This window comes from Homo sapiens, chromosome 3 (genome assembly GCF_000001405.40).
Source record: "Homo sapiens chromosome 3, GRCh38.p14 Primary Assembly".
Lineage (NCBI taxonomy): Eukaryota > Metazoa > Chordata > Mammalia > Primates > Hominidae > Homo > Homo sapiens.
The window spans coordinates 57,642,651-57,665,653 of record NC_000003.12 but is presented as its reverse complement, the minus strand read 5'-3'; the positions used below and the strand labels follow the sequence as shown (position 1 = coordinate 57,665,653).

Here is a 23,003-nt window from a genome sequence, read left to right as displayed (position 1 = left end):
ATCTGGATGCCCTATCAGCACATCCAGTGTGACTTTGACATAATTTGCCTGATAACAGTTTTTACAGTTTACCTCCCTGGTTCCACTAATGGCAGAGATACTACCTGTGAAATGTCTCTTAGAGCCATCTCCTCCTTGCTGTCACTACTAATATATTCTTCCAACCAATGATAATAATAGCTGTTATTTGTTAGGGCTTTGTATGTTCTAGATACTGTATTAATAAGCATATATCATCTAATTAATCCTCCCTACAGTGCTCCAAGAGAGATCCTTTTGTAGATGAGGGAATTGAGGGCTATTGAGCATAAGAAACTTACCCAAGGTCATCCCACCTCTTGTTTTATTCCAGCACAATATACCTTATACAGTGTTGCCAGCTAAAGTGTACATATATATTATATAAGTAAAATCTAAAATGACTACAAATTGTTTAACGAGTAAAGAGGTATAGTACTACTTCCTTGTCCTCACTTTTTGGACCTTCCAAAATAAGAACTTCATCATCAAAGTTTCACCCTCATCTCCTTTCTATGTGTGCCATATATGTGCCGTATTTTAATCAAACTGAACTATGTGCTTTTTCCTGAGATAGCATGTATTTTTCTGTCTTTTGTGTTTTTACTGAAACTCCTAGCCCTTTCAACTTGGAATGCCTTTGTCTTTGTTTAAGTCATATTCATCCTTCAATTCCCAATTCAAAAACAGCTGCCTCCATGAAATCTTTACTTTTTCCCCTTGGCTTTCCTGTAACACTTTGTGTTTTTTCATGGTACCCATCCTCCTATTACAATAATATTCATTTTTCTACTTCTTTTTTCTGAGATGGAGTCTTGCTCTGTCACCAGGCTGGAGTGCAGTGGCGTGATCTCAGCTCACTGCAACCTCTGCCTCCTGGGTTCAAGCGATTCTCCTGCCTCAGCCTCCTGAGTAGTTGGGATTACAGGCACGTGCCACCACACCCAGCTAATTTTTGTATTTTTAGTAGAGACAGGGATTCACCATGTTGGCCAGGATGGTCTTGATCTCCTGACCTCATGATCCGCCCACCTTGGCCTCCCAAACTGCTGGGATTACAGGCATGAGCCACTGCACCTGGCCTCATTTTTCTCCTTTCTTATCCCTCCTAAATCATGATATCCTTGAGGAAGAACTGTGTCTTATGCATCTTTTTATCTTCTCTAACACATCACCCTGTTCAAAGTAGGTGGTCAATATATATTTGTTTAAGGAATAATAATCAAATAAGGAACTGAGCCAAAGTTTACTCCATTAAGATGTAAATGCTTCTTAAATTTTTGGAATGCAATTACCTTTCAGATTGTATGTTGATAAACATTGTTATGCTTCATTATTATTGGGTTAACGTGTAACTGACTATATAAGATTCACATTGTCATTTAACTCCTTTTATTTTCTCTCTTGAAATTGTATGTTAGGATACCTCATTTTGTTTTAAGATTGATCCCTTATCCTTGACAATCTCAAAATTGTAGGTAGAATTTTGTAGAAACTAAATAAAACATTGGAGAAAACAGAATTTGATTTTTTTTTAACTTCAGTCACCTAGTATAGATACGAATAAAGAATGTAAGCTGAGTAAGTTATAGGGGGAAAATTTGACTTTAGTACTTAGATTGTAATTAGTACTTTGCCATCTTTGGGCAAGTTAGGAGGGTTTTTTTGTTTTAATTTTAAGCTTTTACACACATCATATGGACCATGTCAAGAGTTAGAAGGTTCTGATCTGGCTGTTGCTGTCATGATTATTGTTTGTTGCTGGAAAAGCGTAACTAGCTCTTCGTGTATATCTCATGTCTTGATTTGGGTTTATAAAGGAGCCTGATGTTAATATTAAAAGATATAGATATGGATATAGATATAGATACATATATATGTACCCCCCCACACACACTTACTTGTCACTTTCTTCTTAGAAGGATCCTGCTTATTTTTATGGATATGTGTATTTCCGACAAGTTCGAGATAAAACTCTAAAAAGAGGCTACTTTCAGAAGGTAATTGTCATACACACTAATAAAAAAAGTATTTTTTATTTTGTGATTAGAAAAATAGAAAGTGTTAGATTTAAGAGTCTTTAAAGTCTTTGGTATTTTATCTTTAAACATGCTATATATATGTGTGTGTGTGTGTGTATATATATATTTTTTTTTTTTTTTTTTTTTTTTTGAGGTGGAGTCTCGCTCTGTCACCCAGGCTGGAGTGCAGAGGCACGATCTCGGCTGACTGCAACCTCTGCCTCCTGGGTTCAAGCAATTCTGTGCCTCCGTCTCCCAAGTAGCTGGGATTACAGGTGCCCGCCCGACGCCTGGCTAATTTTTTGTATTTTTAGTAGAGACGGAGTTTCACCATCTTGGCCAGGCTGGTCTTGAACTCTTGACCTTGTGATCCACATGCCTCAGCTTCCCAGAGTGCTGGAATTACAGGTGTGAGCTACTGCACCTGGCTTATATATAGATTTTTTTTTTTTTTTTTTTTTTTGATATGGAGTTTTGCTCTTGTCGCCCAGGCTGGAGTTCAGTGGTGTGATCTCGGCTCACTGCAACTTCTGCCTCCCAGGTTCAAGTAGCTGGGAGTACAGGTACTGTATTCCCGAGTAGCTGGGATTACAGGCACCTCACAAGTAGCTGGCATTACAGGTGTGCACTACCATGCCCAGCTAATTTTTGTATTTTTAATAGAGACGGGGTCTCACCATGTTGGCCAGGCTGGTCTCGAACTCCTGACTTCAGGTGATCCACCCACCTCGACTTCCCAAAGTGCTGGGATTACAGGCATGAGCCACCGTGCCTGGCCTTGGGTTTATATTTTATCTTTTTTTTATTATTATTATATTATAGACACCTGTCTCTATATGTTTAACCTCTATTGAATTTTTGCTCTCTGTGCTAGATTCCTGACAGTAAGTTACAGTTATTGCACAGGATTCTGTCAAAAGCCAGAGGAGTCCACTTAAGTTTTACATTTTAGAATAAGGGAAGGAATAAACAGATTGTAATATTGTTGCAACTAATAAACGCCTGAACTATTATATTTTTTTTAAGAGCCAGTAAATAAACTTTAGCAACATCTTAGCCATTATTGTTTCTATTCCAAATGTACAATTCTTTTTGTTTCTTAAAAAGAATCAGGTAGGTCACAGTGGCTTACACTTGTAATCCCAACACTTCGGGAGGACAAGGTGGGCAGATTGCTTAAGTCTAGGAGTTTGAGACCAGCCTGGGCAACATGGCAAAACGCTATCTCTACCAAAAATCCACCCTGACCCCCAAAAAATAGCCAGACTTGATGGCATACACCTGTAGTCCCAGCTACTCAGGAGGCTGAGGTCGGAGGATCACCTGAGCCCATGAGGTTGAGGCAGCAGTGAGCCATGATCACACCATTGCACTGCAGCCTGGGTGACAGAGTGAGACCTTGTCTCAAAAAAAAAAAAAAAAAAAAAAAGAAAAAAGAAAAGAAAGAAACAAAAATAAAGAAAATAATCTTTCCTATTTAATCCCAGCTAGCAAGACATACCTTTCCCTTTTGTACTCAGAATTTGCCCTGACTGCTAATTGGTGTTAGAAAGATAAAAAGTGGTTTTTAAGAAAAAAAAAAAATGTTTAAAAATTGGGATAATTTGTATCTGAAATGATCAAACCATAAGGTTACAATTTCCAACTATGTGGCTATGACAGTTGAACTGTAAAATATAACTCATAAGTCTTTTGGAAAAGTATCAAAATTTACTCTTTCTTTAATAGGGAAAGTTCATATGGCTAATTCCTGATATTGCTATTGTAAGGATAACAGGAGCTAGACTTTTGAAGTTACTCATGACATTAGTTTGTTGATAGGAAATTCTTTTTTTGAAGAGCAGGAAAATCTGTTACATGCCATTATGCTCTTAAAGTGTAGCAATAAGGTTAAACTTTTTGTGTTCTGCAGCTATGGTTTTGTTTCCTTTTAACTATCCACTGTAAAAGCCTTTTTATTTTAAAATCCACACTTTTTGCTGAATTTAGCTTGTTAGTAATTGATTATGCAAGAAATGAATGACAAAGCAATTTTTAAAACATTGTTTTTGTTTTTTCCTCAGTCCTTGGTTTTGATCAGCAAACTACCTTATATTCATTTTTTTCACACTGTGCTCAAACAGATAGCACCAGAGTATTTTGAAAAGAATGAACCTTATTTGGAAGCAGGTAAGTTTAACATATACCTTTATGCAGGAGTTTTAAAATTTTTACTGGAAATAAGTGATAAAAATGAAGTTGATTTATAACAATTTATAAAAATTCAGGTAGGAACTTAAGGAATATATGATAGGAGAAAGGTATAAAACTATTTTTCTGGCATCTGTACCTGCAGATATCCAAAACTGTCTTTTGTTATCTCCTTTAACTACTTTGATGATGCCTGTTATTATTAGAATAATAATAAATGAATATCGAGTTGACAGTTCTAATACTCAGAGTACTATTGAAAAATCCTTATGTCACTTGCTACAGATGGAAGGCCTTTGCCAGTTGATGTGCTTTTGTAGCTAATTAGTAGTAATAAATGAATACAAAAACTCCCTTTAATACTTAGGATATAAATTAACCAATTTATATCCTAGAACATGTGTATTTCTGAGTGAAATATAAAATGTTTTCATCACTTTGACTTTTCTTTTGCCTTTTATCTCTCATTCTTCCAGGTATATTTTTTCTGCTGTATGGAAAGTAGTGTTCTTATTTCTAATGCCTCATTTTTAATACTTTGATATTTTCACTTATTCTAAGAAAATATTTTATTATATTTTTCAGCTTGTAATGATGTTGATCGATGGCCTGCCCCAGTGCCAGGGAAAACATTACACCTGCCAATCATGGGGGTGGTAATGAAGGTAATATCTTATATCTCAATTGTCTCCTTTTTATTTTTATTTTTATTTTTTTGAGACAGGGTCTTGTGCTGTCACCCAGGCTGGAGTACAGTGGCATGATCACAGCTCACTGCAGCCTCAACTTTCCGGGCTCAAGCAATCCTCCCACTTCAGCCCCACAAGTAGCCAGGACCACAGGCATGCACCAACACACCTGGCTAATTTTTAAACTTTTTGTAGACAGAATCTTGCCATGTTTCCTAGGCTAATTGTGATCTTTTTAAAGAACTTTTGGACAGGCGTGGTGGCTCACACCTGTGATCACACCTGTGAGCACTTTGGGAGGCCGAGGCGGGTGGATCCCTTGAGCCCAAGTGTTGAAGACCACCCTGGGCAACATGGTGAAACCTTGTCTCTACAAAAAATAAAAAAATTAACGGGGCATGGTGGTGCACACCTGTAGTCCTAGGTACTTGGGATATTGCTTGAGCCTGGGAAGTTGAGACTGCAGTGAGCCAGGTTTGCATCACTGCATTCCAGCCTGCAGGACAAAAGCGAGACCCTGTCTCAAAAAAAAAAAAAAAGAACTTTGTAGGAAGCTCACACATGGGCTTTGCTTTTTTAACCTTCTATTAATATTAATCATGTTATTGCTTTCCCTTGTTTGTCATTGATGTGAGGCATTATAGAGATATTGCAATACATTTTGCTTCCTAGAACCATTAGTCACACAACTTCAGGCACCTCTGATCTCATGGCATCCTGTAGAGTTTGCAGAAGAGTGTCATTTGTATGTAATACATGTATATGTAAATGCTACCTCCTGGAGTTCTGCAATTCCATGGCCCTGCCAGTGCCTCCAGAGATGAGTGATATGCAGAAACAGATTACTTGGTAGAATTGAGTATGAATTAATAAAAATTAAGAGAAATTGGGAAAGCCATTGGTTCTTAGTCCTAAGTGATGTTCTTAACACGTGATGTCAGACCACACATGTTCATCCCAGGGTTTTGTTCTCTGTTAGATTTTTCTTTTAAATGAATTAGCATTTTGCTCTCAGACTTTGTATAGGTTGTACCCTAAGTGCTTTGCAAGTCACTGTCGAGTAGGACTTATTTTTGACAATGTTCTCTCTCTGCATTTGGCCATTTTTGTAGGATCTGTATTGTGTTTTTCCTTGGGAAATCATCAAAAGTAATACTGATAGTTCTGGATTGAGTGTTCTCATTGTTTCCTGTGAGATTTATCCAAAAATTTGGCAAGCTTGAGAGGGTGTGTTTGGGTGTGTGTATATTAATGAAGCAAAGATTTGAACAATAAACAGGAAGCAGTATGAAGCTGATGTCCATTTTGTTTTTCAACATACTTGCTTCTCAGGGAGTTAGTGATTACTGTGTGTGTGTGGGTATGGAGACCTTGATTTACTTACTTTCTGCTGTGACTAAAAATAAATATGACCTTAGTTTTTAACTCTGACATAGATAATTTTGTTTTTGTAGCTTTTTTGGCATTACTGACCATACCTTTTTAGCAGCAGGATACAGCACTTCTCATCCTCCATTCTTTTATAACCAAAAATAATTTCCTGTCTTTCTTTTAGGTACGGATTCCCACATGTCATGACAAGCCTGGGACAACTCAAATAGTGCAGTTAACTCAGCAGGTAGTGTGGTACTATGGTAGAATGATCCAGCACATATATAGTCTCTTTAACAGAATTTTTAAACTAGCAAATGCAGAGTTTCTTGAGTTTATTACATATTTCTGAATATTACTGAAATGTCCCATTAAATAATTTTTAATGAATTGGTAATATATTTTCTAATGTTTCTTAGGGTCTTTTTTCTTGTTATTTCTCCAGTAGAGACTGGAGAACTCAGAATTTATATTTTAATTGTGAGGAAAAGGGGAAAGTGAATTTTTTTCAATAAGCTTTGATTCTGGCAGAACCTCTTAGGAGAGTGACCAGCAGACTTCTGATTTTAGAAAACTCAGTTAAAAGGATTCTGTAGTTACAATTGCCCTTTATTTTTCCAAAAGCACCATCTGTTCATGGGTGGGGTTGAAGTTTTCATTTGAAATGTTTTAACTGGTGTACATTTTTTTGTTGTACTTTGTTCTTTGAATTGAATAAAAAACAGATAGCAGTAGGAAAACTAGTATTTCTGTTACATATCAACCAGTATTAATGGGAGTATTTCATACAGTTGCAAATTAATCTGATTTACTATTGGATTAATTTTTTCTTAAACAAGGACAGGGTCTCCCTCTGTCTCCCAGGCTGGAGTACGGTGGCACAATCGTAGTTCATGCAGCCTCCAATTCCTGGGCTGAAGTGATTCTCCCACCTCAGCCTCCTAAGTAGCTAGGACTACGGTGCATGCCACCATGCCTGGCTAATTTTTAATATTTTTTGTAGGGATGGGATTTCACTCTGTTACCCAGGCTGGTCTCGAACTCCTGGCATCAAGTGATCCTCCTTCCTGGATTCCCAAAGTGCTAGGATTACAGGCATGAGCTTGGGATTAATTCTTTTTTTTTTTTTGAGATGGAGTCTCGCTCTGTCACCTAGGCTGCAGTGCAGTGGTGCAATCTCGGCTCACTGCAAGCTTCACCTCCCGGGTTCACGCCATTCTCCTGCCTCAGCCTCCCGAGTAGCTGGGACTACAGGCGCCTGCCCCCATGCCTGGCTAATTTTTTGTATTTTTAGTAGAGATGGGATTTCACCGTGTTAGCCAGGATGGTCTCGATATCCTGACCTTGTGATCCGCCCGCCTTGTCCTACCAAAGTGCTGGGATTACAGGCATGAGCTGTCATGCCTGGCCGGGATTAATTCTTTATCCATGTTATCTGCATTATTTTTGATTTTCTGCTATATTAGGGAATATTGGTAAGACCCATTCCCTCTCTGGCTGTTCCTAAAGGAAGAGAATCTTAAAAGTTAGACAGGGCAGCATGGCTTATTGATCATGAGATAGATATATTTTAAAATTTTCCATAAATTTTGGTGATACCTTCTTTTATTTTTCTTTTCTATCTCTCAGGTGGACACAAATATATCTGTTATTTTACCTACTGTTCATGAGGTGGATATTTTCAGGTAAAGAATAAAAAATTTTATTAACTGACTTCCTTTTGCTTTGTGGTGGTGGTGTTAATTTATTTAAAAAATGAATATTATATAGGATGTGGAAAAAATTGGAAGAAAATAGTTATGTTTTACATGTTATAAATCAATGGTTCATCCCTGGGTACATGTTATAAGCTTTGACAATTAGGGAAATTTAAATATAGAATATGTATTATATGTAAAAATATTTTTGTTTGGTTTAGTGTGAGAATTATATTGTAATAATGTTAGAAAACATGCTTTTTTAAAAAAGAGATGCATTTTATTTGGGAGTGAAATGTCATGATGTTTGTGTTCTATTTTAAAATACTTCAGTAAGAAAAAATAGATGACGTGAAAAATGGCAAATATTAATCATTAAATCTGAGTGATATGTATATGATGTTTCTCACACTGTTGTTTTTACTTTTCTGTATGTTTGAAAAATGTCAACATGGAAAATGAAAAAACAAAAAAGAGATACTGTTAGCACTTAGAAAAGAAATAGAGGAAAAATAAAAAGTAATGTTTGTGCCTTTACCCAGAGCAGCTAAATCTTTGGATTGGTACCCAAGTTCTAGTTCCCCAGGTAGTTCTGATGTATAGGCCAGCTTGAAAAACCACTGCTATAAATGAGCAGTTACGAAATGCTCAAAAAGTCATGAAAGACTTAAAATGGATTTTTTTGGTGGGATCTTTTTTCTTTTATTTTTGAGACAGAGTCTCACTCTATTGCCTAGGCTGGAGTGCACTGCTGCAGTCTTGGCTCACAGCAGCCTCCACCTCCCAGGTTCAAGCGATTCTCCTGCCTCAGCCACCCAAGTAGCTGGGACTACAGGTGCACACCACCATGTCTGGCTACATTTTTGTATTTTTAGTAGAGATGGGGTTTCACCATGTTGTCCAGGCTGGTCTCGAACTCCTGACCTCAAGTGATCCACCTGCCTTGCCCTCCCAGAGTGCTGGGATTACAGGTGTGAGCCACTGCGCCTGGCTGACCTTTTTGTTTGTTTTTTATGACTTGTAAACTACATGGAATACTGCTTCAAAAGATTGGTTAGTTTAAAAAAAAAAAAGATTGGTTAGTTTTATATGTTGCTCTAGCACAGTACAGTCATCCTATTTCTAGGTATTTATTCAATAAAAATGAAAATGTGTCTACATGAAGACCTGTATGCAAATGTCTATATAGTAGCTTTATTCATAACAGTATAAAACTATACACAACCGAAGTATCCATCAACTGGTAAATGGACAAACAAAATGTAATACATGAATGCACATGGAATACTATTCAGCAGTTAAAAAAAAGAAGGAACAGTTGATACATGCAACAATGTGAAAGACTTCCAAAAGCATTATGCTAAGTGAAAGTTTCCAGATAATTTAAAGATACTGAATGATTCCATTTATATGATGTTCTGGAAAAGATAAAACTATAGGGACAGAAATCAGATCAGTGGTTACCTGGGGCTGGGGGAGGAAATCTACTACATAAGGGCTGCGGGCATTTCGTGAGGTGATGGAACTATTCTAGATCTTTGGTAAGGGTAAATTTTACTGCATATAAATTATAAATGTGACTTTTAAAACAAATTAATTTTCTTAAAAAGTACATGTTATGGCATTATTAGGATGAAAAGAGGGAGTGTCCCCAAAATGAATAAATATTACAGGCAAAATATACTAAGAAGAATGTGTACATTTCTCGTTTTGATACTTGACTCATTAAGGAATAATTTGCAGAATTGGCATAAATTAATATAGAGTTCAATTATTGGACATTTTTTCTTTTGAACTTCTGGGTATGAGTCTTACGCTTTATTGTTTGTTACTGATTATCTTAGCTTTTGTGGTAATCTTGCATATCCCATATCTGAAATGGTCAGAATCAGAAGTGTTTTGGATTTTGGACTTTTTTGCATTTGGGGATTTTTGCATATACATAATGAGATATCTTGGGGATGGGCCCAAGTTTAAACACAAGGGTCACTTATGCTTCATATACACCTTATACACATAGCCTGAACGTAATTTAAAAAAATATTTTTAATGATTTTGTGCATGCAACTAAATTTTGATTGCATTTTGACTTTGACTTACCTTGAGGTCATAAGTAGAATTTTCCACTTGTGGCATCATGTCAATGCTCAAAACCTTTTGGATTTGGGAACATTTTGTAATGTAGATTTTCACATTAGGGATGCTCAACCCTTAGTTAATTACCCCCATCACTAACACCTTTGATTAGCACATGTCTTGTCTCCTGGATATGAATTACATAATATTGTTTTAAGAGTGGGGCAAGTAAGTTTGTTGTTTTTAAATTCTTGTTTCCCGCCAGATGCAGTGGCTCACGCCTGTAATCCCAGCACTTTGGGAGGCCGAGGCGGGCGGATCATGAGGTCAGGATTTTGAGACCAGCCTGACCAACATGGTGAAACCCCGTCTCTACTAAAAATACAAAAACTAGCTGGGCATGGTGGCGGGCCGCCTGTAATCTCAGCTACTCAGGAGGCTGAGGCAGGAGAATTGCTTGAACCCAGGAGACGGAGGTTGCAGTGAGCTGAGATCGTGCCACTGCACTCCAGCCTGGGCAACAGAATGAGACTCCATCTCAAAAAAAAAAAAAAATTCTTGTTTTCCAAGAGATGAGAAAACCAAATTTTGAAAAATAATCTCACACAGTGATAGTATTATATCAAGCATTTAATATCTAATGATTAGATTAATGCTTTATTTGTGACTGTGCTTTTTGTTTCTGTAGAGCTTACATTTCACGTTTATTAGTGTGAATGAAAGTTTACATATTTATCCAGTTATATTGAAGGTGATAGATTTACACCAAGACTGAGCTTGAAAGCAAAGTAAAGAGACCTAGAAAGGCATTTGAATTTGAGTAGCAGAGATACAGTTGAGTGTAGGCGCTCCTTTCACTAGGTCAAGGTCTATTCCATGGACCACGCCTTTGGTTTCAGCTTTCTTGATCACAGAAATAGTTTCCTCATTCTGTTTTTGAGGTGAGATTAGAATTGAAGGGCAGTTTTCTGTTGAAAGAAATAGACATTTTCTTGCCTTAGAGTCAGGGACATTTTACTTGATGATATTTGCTATTTGTTCCTAGTACAATGAGAGACACATCAGTTATCACCTCCTGCCACCTGCTTCTCTCCCCTGTTCCCTATTGTGACTTGAGAAACAAGTTATTTTGGCTTTCTACCGCATTGGCTGAGTAGACAACAGTTATAGCTGTTTCTATGTTTCAGAGATTGAGAAAGCCTGTCACCACATAAAATGTATCTGATGCTATCTGACACATGTTGATTTCCTTTGGGTTTAGGTTTCAGATTATAATAACATACTATATCTTTCTCAAAAGGTTGAAACCACTGTTTAATTCTTAGAAGTGAATTTCTGGCTGGGCACGGTGGCTCACACCTGTAATCCCGGCACTTTGGGAGGCCAAGGCAGGTGGATCACGAGGTCAGGAGATCGAGACCATCCTGGCTAACACGGTGAAACCCCGTCTCTACTAAAAATACAAAAAAAAAAAAAATTAGCCGGGCGTGGTGGCGGGCACCTGTGGTCCCAGCTACTTGGGAGGCTGAGGCAAGAGAATGGTGTGAACCCGGGAGGTGGAGCTTGCAGTGAGCTGAGATCGTGCCACTGCACTCCAGCCTGGGTGACAGAGTGAGACTCCATCTCAAAAAAAAAAAAAAAAAAAAAAAAGTGAATTTCTAATTATTTTCCCAAGGCATGGCTGTTTTGGTGGTGGGAGCTTAGCATAAAGGCATGATACGCCAGAATGGGAATATAAATGTGGTACTAAAAAAAAAAAACCCAGTGATTTCCTTACAGACCTTCATTTCAGTAATCCTATACTGCAGTTAATTTGGAGCACGCTACCTTTTTTTTTTTTTTTTTTTAGATGGAGTCTCGCTCTGTCGCCCAGGCCGGAGTGCAGTGGTGCGATCTCGGCTCACTGCAACCTCCGCCTCCTGGGTTCAAGCAATTCTCCTGCCTCAGCCTCCCGAGTAGCTGGGACTACAGGCTTGTGCCACTACATCCGGCTAATTTTTTTTATTTTTAGTAGAGACGGGGTTTCACCGTTGTTAGCCAGGATGGTCTCGATCTCCTGACCTCACGATCTGCCCGCCTCAGCCTCCCAAAGTGCTGGGATTACAGGCGTGAGCCACCGCGCCCGGCCTACTACTAATATTTTTTAGTTCGAGAGAAGTTTCCTTTCCTGAATATTAAAAACTTACCTCCCACCCAAAAAAACAACTTTGATAACATATTATCAGTATAATACAAAGCTTTCAAAGAATGATTTATCTTGTAACTATACTTCCTATCTTCTATGTGTGCCCTTTGCTAATAATATATTAATATACTTGAAAGACAATAATTTGCAACTTGGTGCCTTAAAGGAATCCCACTATTAAAGTCAGTTGGTGAGATGTTTTCATGTAGGCCTTTTTCATTTTTCCTTTGCTTATTTTTACAAACCAACAGAAAAGTAGTAAGTACAATACAGAAGACTTTTTTCCCAAACCATTTGGTAGTAAGCTGGCGACTTGGTGCCCTGTCATCTCTTAATACTTTAGAGTCTATTTCCTACAAACAAGTATACAACGCAACCATCAAAATTGGTAAAATCAACATTGATAAGTTAATATCATCTAATACTAAGACCAGTTCAAATGTTACCAGTTGTTACAATAATGTCTAGTTGAGAATCATCTGTTGCATGTAGCTGTCACATCTCATTAGTCATCTTCAGTCTAGAATAGTTCTTTAGTCTCTGACTTTCATGATCCTGATATTTTGCAGATTACAGGACAGTTATTTTGCAGAAACTCCTCAGTTTAGGATTGTCTGGTATTTACTCCTGATTAGATTGAGGCTCTGCATCTGTCAGGAGGTGGCATATAAGTTGAGCTTGACTTGTTATTGATGATGTTCAGTTTGATAACTTGATTAATGTGGTATCCTCCAAGCTTCTCCACTGATAAGTTAATTGTTTTTTCTTTTGTAATTAGGTATTTTTGGGGGAGATATTTGAAACTATATATGTTATTTATTGATGTGTAACAAATTATCCCAATACTTAGGCTTAAAAGAACAAACATTATTTCACACAGTTTCTGAGGGCTGGAAATCTGGGAGCTGCTTAGGTGGGTAGTTCTGGCTCAGAGTTTTTTATGTGGTTGCAGTCAAGTTGTTATCTGTGGTTTCAGTCAGTTGGACATAGGAGTCTGGAGAGTCTGCTTCCCTACAAGGCTTACTCGCACAGCTTGGCTGGAGATCGCAGTTCTCTGTGGCTGTTGTTAGGAGGTCTCAGCCCTAGCCTTATGGACTTCTCCATAGGGCTGCCTAATGTTCTCACAACATGGCAGCTAACTTTTCCCAGAGCAAGCACTGAGAGAAGGCTGAAGCCACAGTGTCCCGTATGACTCAGCCTTCAAAGTTGTACATTGTCATTTCTACCGTATTCTGTTAATTACAATCAAACCAGTAATCCAGTCCGCGCTCAAGAACGGGAGAATTAGGCTCCATGTTTTGAAAGGACTGTCAAAGAATTTGTGGACAGATGTTATTTATTTATTTATTTTTATTTTTATTTTATTATTTTTGTAGAGAGGGTGTCTTGCTATGTTACCCAGGCCAGTCTTAAACTCTTGCCTCAAGTGATCCTCCCACCTAGGTGTTGGGGTTACAGGAGTGAGCCACCATGCACAGCCTGGACATATTTTAAATCACCACACTATTTTTATATATCTGTTTGGACTCTGATTTCTTGTTTTATTCAATAGATTCTAATCCATTATTACCTATTTTGATATTCAAATTGTCCCAGTTTAGCCAGTGAGAACTTAGTACAGGGTGGCTTCTATGTTCTTTTGCCATATCTCTGTCATTCTTTGAACACTGTCTTGCTTTCTGGTGTGAGATATTCCGGGTTTATCTTTTTTTTTTTTGGTAATTAAATAAACTGGTTTGTAATTATCATATCATACAATATTCAACCTTTTAAAGTACAATTCACTAGTTTTTTAATATATTCACAAAGTTGTGCAACCATCACTGCTAATTCCAGAACATTTTCATCACCTCAAAACATAACCCTGTACCTATTAGCAGTTCCCATTCCCTCTTCTTCCCAGCCCCTTGCCATTACTAATTTACTTTCTGTCTCTATGGACTTGCCTGTTTTGGACATTACATTTAACTAGAATCATACAAAATGTGACCTTTTGTGTCTGTCTTCCTTCACCCAGAATAATGTTTATAAGGTTCATCTGTGCAGTATCATGAATCAGTACAGATGCTCCTAGACTTATAAGGGGGTTATGTCCTGTTAAACCCATTGTAAGTTTGCAAATTGTAAGTTGAAAGTGCGTTTTTGATATTTTCAGTTTACAATGGGCTTATCTGGAGGTAAGTCTGTCATATGTTGAGGAGCATACTGAATGCGTACTGCTTTTGCAACATCATAAAGTTAAAAATTGTAAGTCGACCCATTGTAACATGGGGACTGTCTGTACTTCATTTTTTTAATGGTTGAATAATATTCCATGTGGATGGGCCAGGTGCAGTGGCTCACGCCTGTAATCCAAGCACTTTGGGAGGCCAAGGTGGTCAGATCATCTGAGATCGGGAGTTCGAGACCAGTCTGACTGGCATGGAGAAACCCCATCTCTACTAAAAATACAAAACTAGCCGGGTGTGGTGGCACATGCCTGTAATCCCAGCTACTCTGGATGCTGAGGCAGGAGAATCTCTTGAATCTGGGAGGCGGAGGTTGTGGTGAGCCAAGATCGCGCCATTGCACTCCAGTCTGGGCAACAAGAGCAAAACTCCATCTCAAAAAAAAAAAAAAAATTCCATGTGGATATACTACATTTTGTCTATCCATTCACCTTTTGATGCAGGTTTGGATGGTTTACACTTTTGGTTATTATGAATAATGCTACTGTCCACATTTGTGTATACGTCTTTGTGTGGACATGTTTTCCATTCTCTTGGGTTCCAGATCATCTTGTATTTTCTCTTCCCAAGCCCTAGAACCAGCCATTTCTCTAAAAAGCCTTTGTTCTTTTTAGCAGAGAATAAGATTTAGAAGACAAGATCTGGGCACTTGGTGTGCTTATTGATATTGAGATATCATTGCTTTTAGACCCTCTCAAGTGGACAAAGCTAGGATGTGTGTGTGTGTATGTATGTGTGTGTGTGTGTGTGTGTGTGTATGTAAATGCATGTATATATACACACTCATATATTAAATTATTTTTTATTAACTGATTTAATCAATACCTCTGTTAGTAATCAATGCTGCATCTCTGCTGCAACTTTTTTTTTTTTAGGTTTTTTGTTTATTTCAAAAGGTTTTTGGGGAATAGGTGGTGTTTGGTTGCATGAATAAGTTCTTTAGTGATGATTTCTGAGATTTTGATATACCCATCACACGAGGAATGTACACTGTACCCAATATGTAGTCTTTTTATCCCTCACCCCCTCCCTCCCTTTCCCCACTGAGTTCCCAAAGTTCATAGTATCATTCTTATGTCTTTGCATCCTCATAGCTTAGCTCCCACTTATGAGTGAGAACATATGATGTTTGGTTTTCCATTCCTAAGTTACTTTAGAATAATGGTCTCCAATTCCATCTAGGGCGCTCTGAATGCCTTTATTTCATTCCTTTTTATGGCTGAGTAGTATTCCACGGTGTGTGTGTGTGTGTGTGTATATATATACAGAGAGTCAGAGCCCAAAAAGGGGAAGATGGCACCCACTTGGAGACGTGGTCTAGTGGGATAGAGTAACCTGAATGAGACAGGAGGGTATCCATGGGGGTGGGGGTGGGGGGTCAATCCAACAAGGAGAATCAGAGAGTGAGCAGGGTAAGGAGGGTATCCATGCAGAAGGGAAGCCAGGTGTAGAATGTCAGGGCCCAGGGGAGATGAGAAAAGTATTAGCATGGGGGACAAATATATATATACACACATACAACTATATATATATATATTTTTTTTTTTTCACTCATTGATTGATGGGCATTTGGGCTTGTTCCATATTTTTGCAATTGTGCATTGTGCTGCTATAAACATGCATGTGCAAGAATCTTTTTTTTTTTTTTATGACTTCCTTTCCTCTGGGTAGATACCCAGTAGTGGGATTGCTGGATCAAATGGTAGATCTACTTTTAGTTCTTTAAGGAATCTCTGTACGGTTTTCCATAGTGGTTGTACTAGTTTACATTTCTACCAACAGTGTAAAAGTATTCCCTTTTCACCACATCCACACCAACATTTATTATTTTTTGATTTTTTGATTATGGCTATTCTTGCAGGAGTGAGGTACTAGTGCATTGTGGGTTTGATTTGCATTTCCCTGATAATTAGTGATGTTAAGCATTTTTTAATGTTTGTTGGCAATTTGTATATCTTCTTTTGAGAATTGTCTATTCATGTCCTTAGCCCACTTTTTGATGGGATTGTTTATTTTGTTCTTGCTGATTTAAGTTCCTTATAGATTCTGGATATTTGTCCTTTGTTTGGATGTATAGATTGTGAAGATTTTCTCCTATTCTGTGAGTTGTCTGTTTACTCTGCTGATTATTTCTTTTGCTGTACAGAAGCAAAATAAGTCCCATCTATTTATCTTTGTTTTGTTGCATTTGCTTTTGGGTTCTTGGTCATGAAGTCTTTGCCTAGGTTTATGCCTGGATGGGTTTTTTCCAATGTTATCTTCTAGAAATTTTATGATTTCAGGTCTTAGATTTAAGTTTTTGATTAATCTTGAGTTTGTTTTTGTAAAGGATGAGAGATGAGGATCCAGTTTCATTCTTCTACATGTGGCTTGCCAATTATCTCAGCACCATTTGTTAAATAGGGTGTCTTTTCCCCACTTTATGTTTTTGTTTGCTTTGTTGAAGATCAGTTGACTGTAAGCATTTGGCTTTATCTCTGGGTTCTCTGTTCTGTTCCATTGGTCTATATGCCTATTTTTATACCAGTACCATGCTGTTTTGATGACTATGGCTTTACAGTGTAGTTTGAAGGCAGATAATGTATTGCTTCCAGATTTGTTCTTTTTGCTTAGTCTTACTTTAGCTATGCAGGCTCTTTTTTGGTTCCATATGAATTTTAGGATTGTTTTTTCTAGTTCTGTGACGAATGATGGGAACAAGCAGTGTAAGGAGGGCATTGATGGGAATTGCGTTGAATTTGTAGATTGCTTTTGGCAGTATGGTCATTTTTACAATATTGACTCTACCCATCCATGAGCATAGGATGTGTTTCCATTTGTTTGTGTCGTCTGTGATTTTTTTCAGCAGTGTTTTGTCATTTTCCCTGTAGAGGTCTTTCACCTCCTTGAGTAAGTATATTCCTTAGTATTTTATGTATTGCAGCTATTGTAAAAGGGGTTGATTTGATTCTCAGCTTGGTTGCTGTTGGTGTATAGGAGAGCTACTGATTTGTGTACATTAATTTTGTATTCGGAAACTTTGCTGAATTCATTTACCAGTTCTAGGAGGTTTTTGGATGAGTTTTTAAGGTTTTCTAGGTATATGATGTCATCAGCAAACAGTGACAGTTTAAATTCCTCATTACCAATTTGCATGCTCTTTATTTCTTTCTCTTCTCTGATTGCTCTGGCTAGGACTCTGCTGCAACTTTGTCCCCCAAGCTAATAGTTTTCTCATCCCCACTGGGCCCTGACATTCTACACCTGGCTTCCCTTCTGCATGGATACCCTCCTTACCCTGCTCACTCTCTGATTCTTCTTGTTGGATTGACCCCCCACCCCCACCCCCATGGATACCCTCCTGTCTCATTCAGGTTACTCTGTCCCACTAGACCACATCTCCAGGTGGGTGCCATCTTCCCCTTTTTGGGCTCTGACTCTCAACACCAGGTCAAGCCTCACATGAGTGCTCTCCTTACCCTGCTTGTGTGCTTACCCTACTCCAGGGTACTTCTCCATGGAGATACCCTCATTTCTCTGCTCTGACACCTTATGCCAGGTGGTCCCACATTGTGACAACCTCCTCAACTCATTCTGTCTTTGATGCTACTCATCAGGCTACCTGTCTGTGCTTCCTGGGCTCTGTGAACTGAAACCAAATAATCCCCACACATGTATACATTGCTCACCACATTTGGGCTCCAGCAGTTCCACAGTAGGCCACTATCTGCATGTAGATGTCCACCTTACCTTACATAAGCTCTGACACGCCTCCCTGGTCAATACGGCTCTCTTTCCCTCATGGCAGAGATACCTACCATGTTCTGCTTTAGGACTGAGTTGTTTAGGAAGGGAAGAGGAAGAGCTCCTTTGCCTTACCCATGAGCTGTTTTTTTGTTGTTGTTTGTTTCTTTTGTGGCACTTATCTTGTTTTTGAATAGTTAAAATTAACTCCCCTAATTTCCATCTCATAATTTGTTGCATATTTTTGCACTTAATTGTTGTTTGATTTTTCTTTTCTTTTTTATTTGCATGTGTGTCTTTTCAACTGAGTGGATTGGTTGTGATTTTCATAAATAGATAAGATTTTCCCCCCTAATCTACTAGGAAAATTTTTTACCAAGCCAGGAGGAAATTCCTAAATAAGTGAAAGTTACCAAGTGTCTTAGGCCTGGTAACATACTAGCAGAGTTGTGTCCCAACAGGCCTCCACCCAATTCCAGGGCTGCTGTAAAAATACTCAGCACTTCTGTAGAGGGAGTATCTGCCCAGGAGTTTCGCTCTTGTTCAGCATTAGCACTCCCCCTTGTGATTTGTCATCATTCTTTAATGTCAGAAGTATTGGGTTTTAAGTTAAGTATATCCAATAAGTGCCCTTGGAAAATTAATTTTTCTTATTTCCTTAAAAATATTTAGGATTGAAATTCAAAGTATCAAAGCAATATTGATAAAATAGATCGATCATATGGTACAACAATTTGAGAATTATATGCTTTTATTGTCAGTTATTCTGTGTGTCAATATATTACATTTAATTTTGTAAAAATTAGGATGAGTCAAATTGATAGATATTTTTATGTGGATAAAAGGGACTTATGTCTCTATACATCACCATATTCTAAATGAATTTGTGTATCAGATCAGGATACAAATAGCAGGAAGAATTTATATCAATGTGGAGTTTTTAGAAAGATTATGTAGGAATTTTAAAAACAGGATTGGCTACATTAAAAAGTATTTCTACTGTGCATCACCTTTCAGGTGTTTCTGCCCAGTTTTCCTTCATAGTCAGATGCTCTGGGAGCTGGTGCTGTTGGGGGAGCCCCTTGTGGTTATGGCGCCATCACCATCGGAATCATCAGAGACTGTATTGGCACTTGTTAAGTGAGTCTATTTGGTTACTATTTCTGGGTTTTTTTTTTGGATGCTGCAGTACTTAACCTGTTGGTGATATTTGCAGCACTTCCCACCTGTCGTATTTTTCCCCACCCATTATTGCATTGATCCATGCAAAAACCCTATCAGAAGGTAATGCTTATTATAGCACCATTTTATGGATGAGAAAATTGATTCAGGCTCCCTGAGGGCTGGAACCATGCCTTTGTTGTTCTGAGTGGCAGGCACATTGATTCATTACATGAAGTTGTTCCTTGATAAATATTACTTGTGTGAATGATCAGTGTAGAGTCAAAGGCACATAGCTAGTGAACAGTAGAGCCAGAATTTCACCGCATCTTCTGCCCCAAACCCAGTGTGTTCTTTCAGTATGCCATTTCACATTACATATATCTGTCTTTCTAATTCTGTGAAATGAGTTTACCATTTATTAAAATAAACAAAGTATCCCTTTGTGTGTATACCGTTTGTATAGATGTTTTCTAGTTATAGATTAGGACCTTTAATTTCTGTGTCCTTTATTTTACATGTTCTTCCTGCTCCACAGCTGTATTTCTCCATTAAAGTACTTCAGTGATTTCCGACCTTATTTCACTATTCATGATAGTGAATTCAAAGAATATACTACCCGTACCCAAGCTCCGTAAGTAAAAATAACTTCTATTGACCAGGTATTACCTTTATAACCAAAATTGTGTAGAATTATTTTTGGTAATAAAAGCTTATAGGCAGAATGATCTTATAAAAGGAAAGTTTGAGGAGCTGCTGGAAATAATTTTAGATTTTAAGAGTTAGTACCTTATTTGAGCGATTTTATGTATTTATTTTTATTTATTTATTTTTGAGACAGAGGTTTGCTCTGTCGCCCAGGCTGGAGTGCAGTGGCATGATCTCGGCTCACTGCAACCTCTGCCTCCTGGGTTCAAGAGAGTCTCCTGCCTCAGCCTCCTGAGTAGCTGGGATTACAGGCATGCGCCACCACGCCCGGCTAATTTTTGTATTTTTAGTAGAGACAGGGTTTCACCATGTTGATCAGGCTGATCTCGAATTCCTGACTTTGTGATCTGCCTGCCTCAGCCTCACAAAGTGCTGGGATTACAGGTGTGAGCCACCACACCCGGCCCACGTGATTTTATTTATTAATGGAAGCTATATTGTCATTAATAGCGACTGGGTTGTACTTTCAGTTGTACTTCTTTATGAAAAATCTTTTCAATCTGTAAAAAGAAAAAATAATCTTACCCTTTCCCTTTTAGCTCTTGCTCTATCGCTCACCTTCTTTTTACAGCTAGATTTCTAAAGCAACAACAAAAATCTGCATGTACGATCTCCACTTCCTGATTTTCTGGTTGCTTCTAGTCAACTGCGGATTGACTTCTTCATATTCACTGAATTTGTTCTTGCCAGATCATCAATACCCTTCTCACTGTTTCACCCAGTGGGCATATCATTGCCCTGTTTTTCCTTTTCTTTCTGTCTTTCCCCCTCCCCTCCCCTCCCCACCCCTCCCCTCCCCACCCCTCCCCTCCCCTCCTCACCCCTCCCCTCCCCTCCCCACCCCTCCCCTCCCTTCCCCTCCTCTCCCCTCCTCTCCCCTCCCCTCCCCTCCCCTCCCTTCCCTGTTGCCCAGGCTGGTCTGCCACCTCTTCTTTCTTGTAACATTTACACTTTTAACCTTAAAAATATTTTAATCACCAGCCAGTCGTGATGGCCCATGCCTGTAATCCCAGCACTTTGGTAGGCTGAGGCGGGCAGATCACTTAAGTCCAGGAGTTAGAGACCAGCCTGGGCAACATGGCAAAACCCTGTCTCCACAAAAAAAATACAAAAATTAGCTGGATGTGGTGGCATGCATCTGTAGTCCCAGCTACTCATGAGGCTGAGGTGGGAGGATGGCTTGAGCCTAGGAGGCAGAGGTTGCAGTGAACTCAGATCGTGCCACTGGACTCCAGCCCTGGGGAACAGAGTGAGACCCTGTCTCAAAAAAAATTTTTTTGTAAATCTCTAATACTGTTCTCTCCTGGGCTGTCTTGTGGTGCATCCCAATCTTCTTTGCAGACTTCTTTTCTCTACGAATCCCTTAAATGTTGGTGTTCGCTAGGTATTGTGTTCTGAGTTCTGATTTCAGACTGATAGTTTTTTTTTTTTTTTTTTGAGATGGAGTCTGGCACTGTCATCCAGGAGGGAGTGCAATGGCGCCATCTTGGTTTACTGCAACCTCCGCCTCCCGGGTTCACGAGATTCTCCTGCTTTAGCCTCCCAAGTAGCTGGGATTACAGGTGCACACTATCACACCCAGCTAATTTTTTGTATTTTTAGTAGAGACAGGGTTTCACTATATTGGCCAGACTGGTCTTGAACTCCTGACCTCGTGATCTGCCCACCTTGGCTTCCCAAAAGTGTTGGGATTACAGGCATGAGCCACCACGCCTGGCCCAGACTGATAATTATTTCTGTACAGTTTTTTTTTTTTTTTTGAGACAGAGTCTCGCTCTGTTGCCTGGGCTGGAGTGCAGTGGCATGACCTCAGCTCACTGCAAACTTCACCTCCTGGGTTCAAGTGATTCTCCTACCTCAGCCTCCCAAGTAGCTGGGATTACAGGCATGCACCACCACACCCAGCTAATTTTTGTATTTTTAGTGGAGATGGGGTTTCATCATGTTGGCCAGACTGGCTCGAACTCCTGACCTCAAGTGATCCACCCGCCTCAGCCTCCCAAAGTGCTGGGATTACAGACGTGAGCCACCGTGCCTGGCCCTTTCTGTACAGTCTTATCTGTACCCATGGCTTCTGTTAATACCCCATGTTAATGACTGAAATATATCTTTCTAGCCAATATCTCTGTGAGGTCCAGACCTATATAACCAGGCGTGTGTGTGTGTTGTGGGGGGAGGGGGATGTTTTAAGCACATTGCCCCATAGAAGATAGAAGTCTTAATGGCATCTGAAACTAAACATGTGCAAACTGAATTATTTTTGTCTCCCTCTTTTCTCCCCTAATCTCATACCTCTTCTTTCTTTTCATGGATGGCATTAGTTTTCACTTAGTTCTCAAAACCTTGTCATAAATTTCTCCTTTGTAACATGCCCCACATTAAATTTTACCAAATTCTGTCAGTTTGATATCCTAAAATATCTCTGATTACATTTCTTATCTTCTTTCTATTGCTCCCTTTCCAGTCTTACTGCCTCTCATGTTTTGCATATCCAAATTTGCTTTTCCCTCAACCCCTTCTCTCCTCATAAGATAACTTCCAAATTTCTTCCAGAGTGATCTTTCTTTTTTTTTTTTTTTTGAGATGAAGTCTCGCTCTTGTCCCCCAAGTTGGAGTGTGATGGCGCGATCTTGGCTCACTGCAACCTCCACCTCCTGGGTTCAAGTGATTCTCCTGCCTCAGCCTCCCCAGTAGCTGGGATTACAGGCGCCTGCCACCACACCTGGCTAATTTTTGTATTTTTAGTAGAGATGGGGTTTCACCGTGTTGGCCAGGTTGGTCTCGAACTCCTGACCTCAGGTGATCTGCCCACCTCGGCCTTCCCAAAGGGCTGGGATTACAGGCGTGAGCCACCGCGCCTGGCCGATTGATCTTTCTAATAAGTGCTTTTTCTTTCATGCGGCATTCCTCCACTTGGTTATCTGGTAGTTTCCCTT

The 23,003-nt window shown here is 39.0% G+C and overlaps 2 protein-coding genes across 6 annotated transcripts in view; one reads left to right on the top strand and one right to left on the bottom strand.

Moving 5' to 3' along the window:
* Window positions 1-23,003, top strand: part of DENND6A (DENN domain containing 6A) — a 67,624-nt gene that overhangs the window by 27,424 nt on the left and 17,197 nt on the right. For 3 of the 5 annotated variants that reach the window (XR_245100.2, NM_152678.3, XM_047447670.1), the window contains 7 exons: window positions 1,938-2,018; window positions 4,103-4,208; window positions 4,815-4,894; window positions 6,474-6,536; window positions 7,919-7,974; window positions 19,216-19,338; window positions 19,898-19,993. Coding sequence is in view for 3 of the 5 variants with exons in the window: in NM_152678.3 (NP_689891.1) it covers window positions 1,938-2,018; window positions 4,103-4,208; window positions 4,815-4,894; window positions 6,474-6,536; window positions 7,919-7,974; window positions 19,216-19,338; window positions 19,898-19,993 (605 nt within the window). In the remaining 2 variants the exon portion in view is untranslated. The remainder of the gene's footprint in view (window positions 1-1,937; window positions 2,019-4,102; window positions 4,209-4,814; window positions 4,895-6,473; window positions 6,537-7,918; window positions 7,975-19,215; window positions 19,339-19,897; window positions 19,994-23,003) is intronic. The other 2 variants (XR_007095649.1, XM_006713019.4) reach the window with 1 other exon arrangement.
* PDE12 (phosphodiesterase 12) overlaps window positions 9,159-23,003 on the bottom strand; it is a 100,222-nt gene continuing 86,377 nt past the window's right edge. The window contains exon 3 of the mRNA NM_001322176.2: window positions 9,159-11,030. Within this exon, the coding sequence (NP_001309105.1) occupies window positions 10,861-11,030 (170 nt within the window). The 3' untranslated portion in view covers window positions 9,159-10,860. The remainder of the gene's footprint in view (window positions 11,031-23,003) is intronic.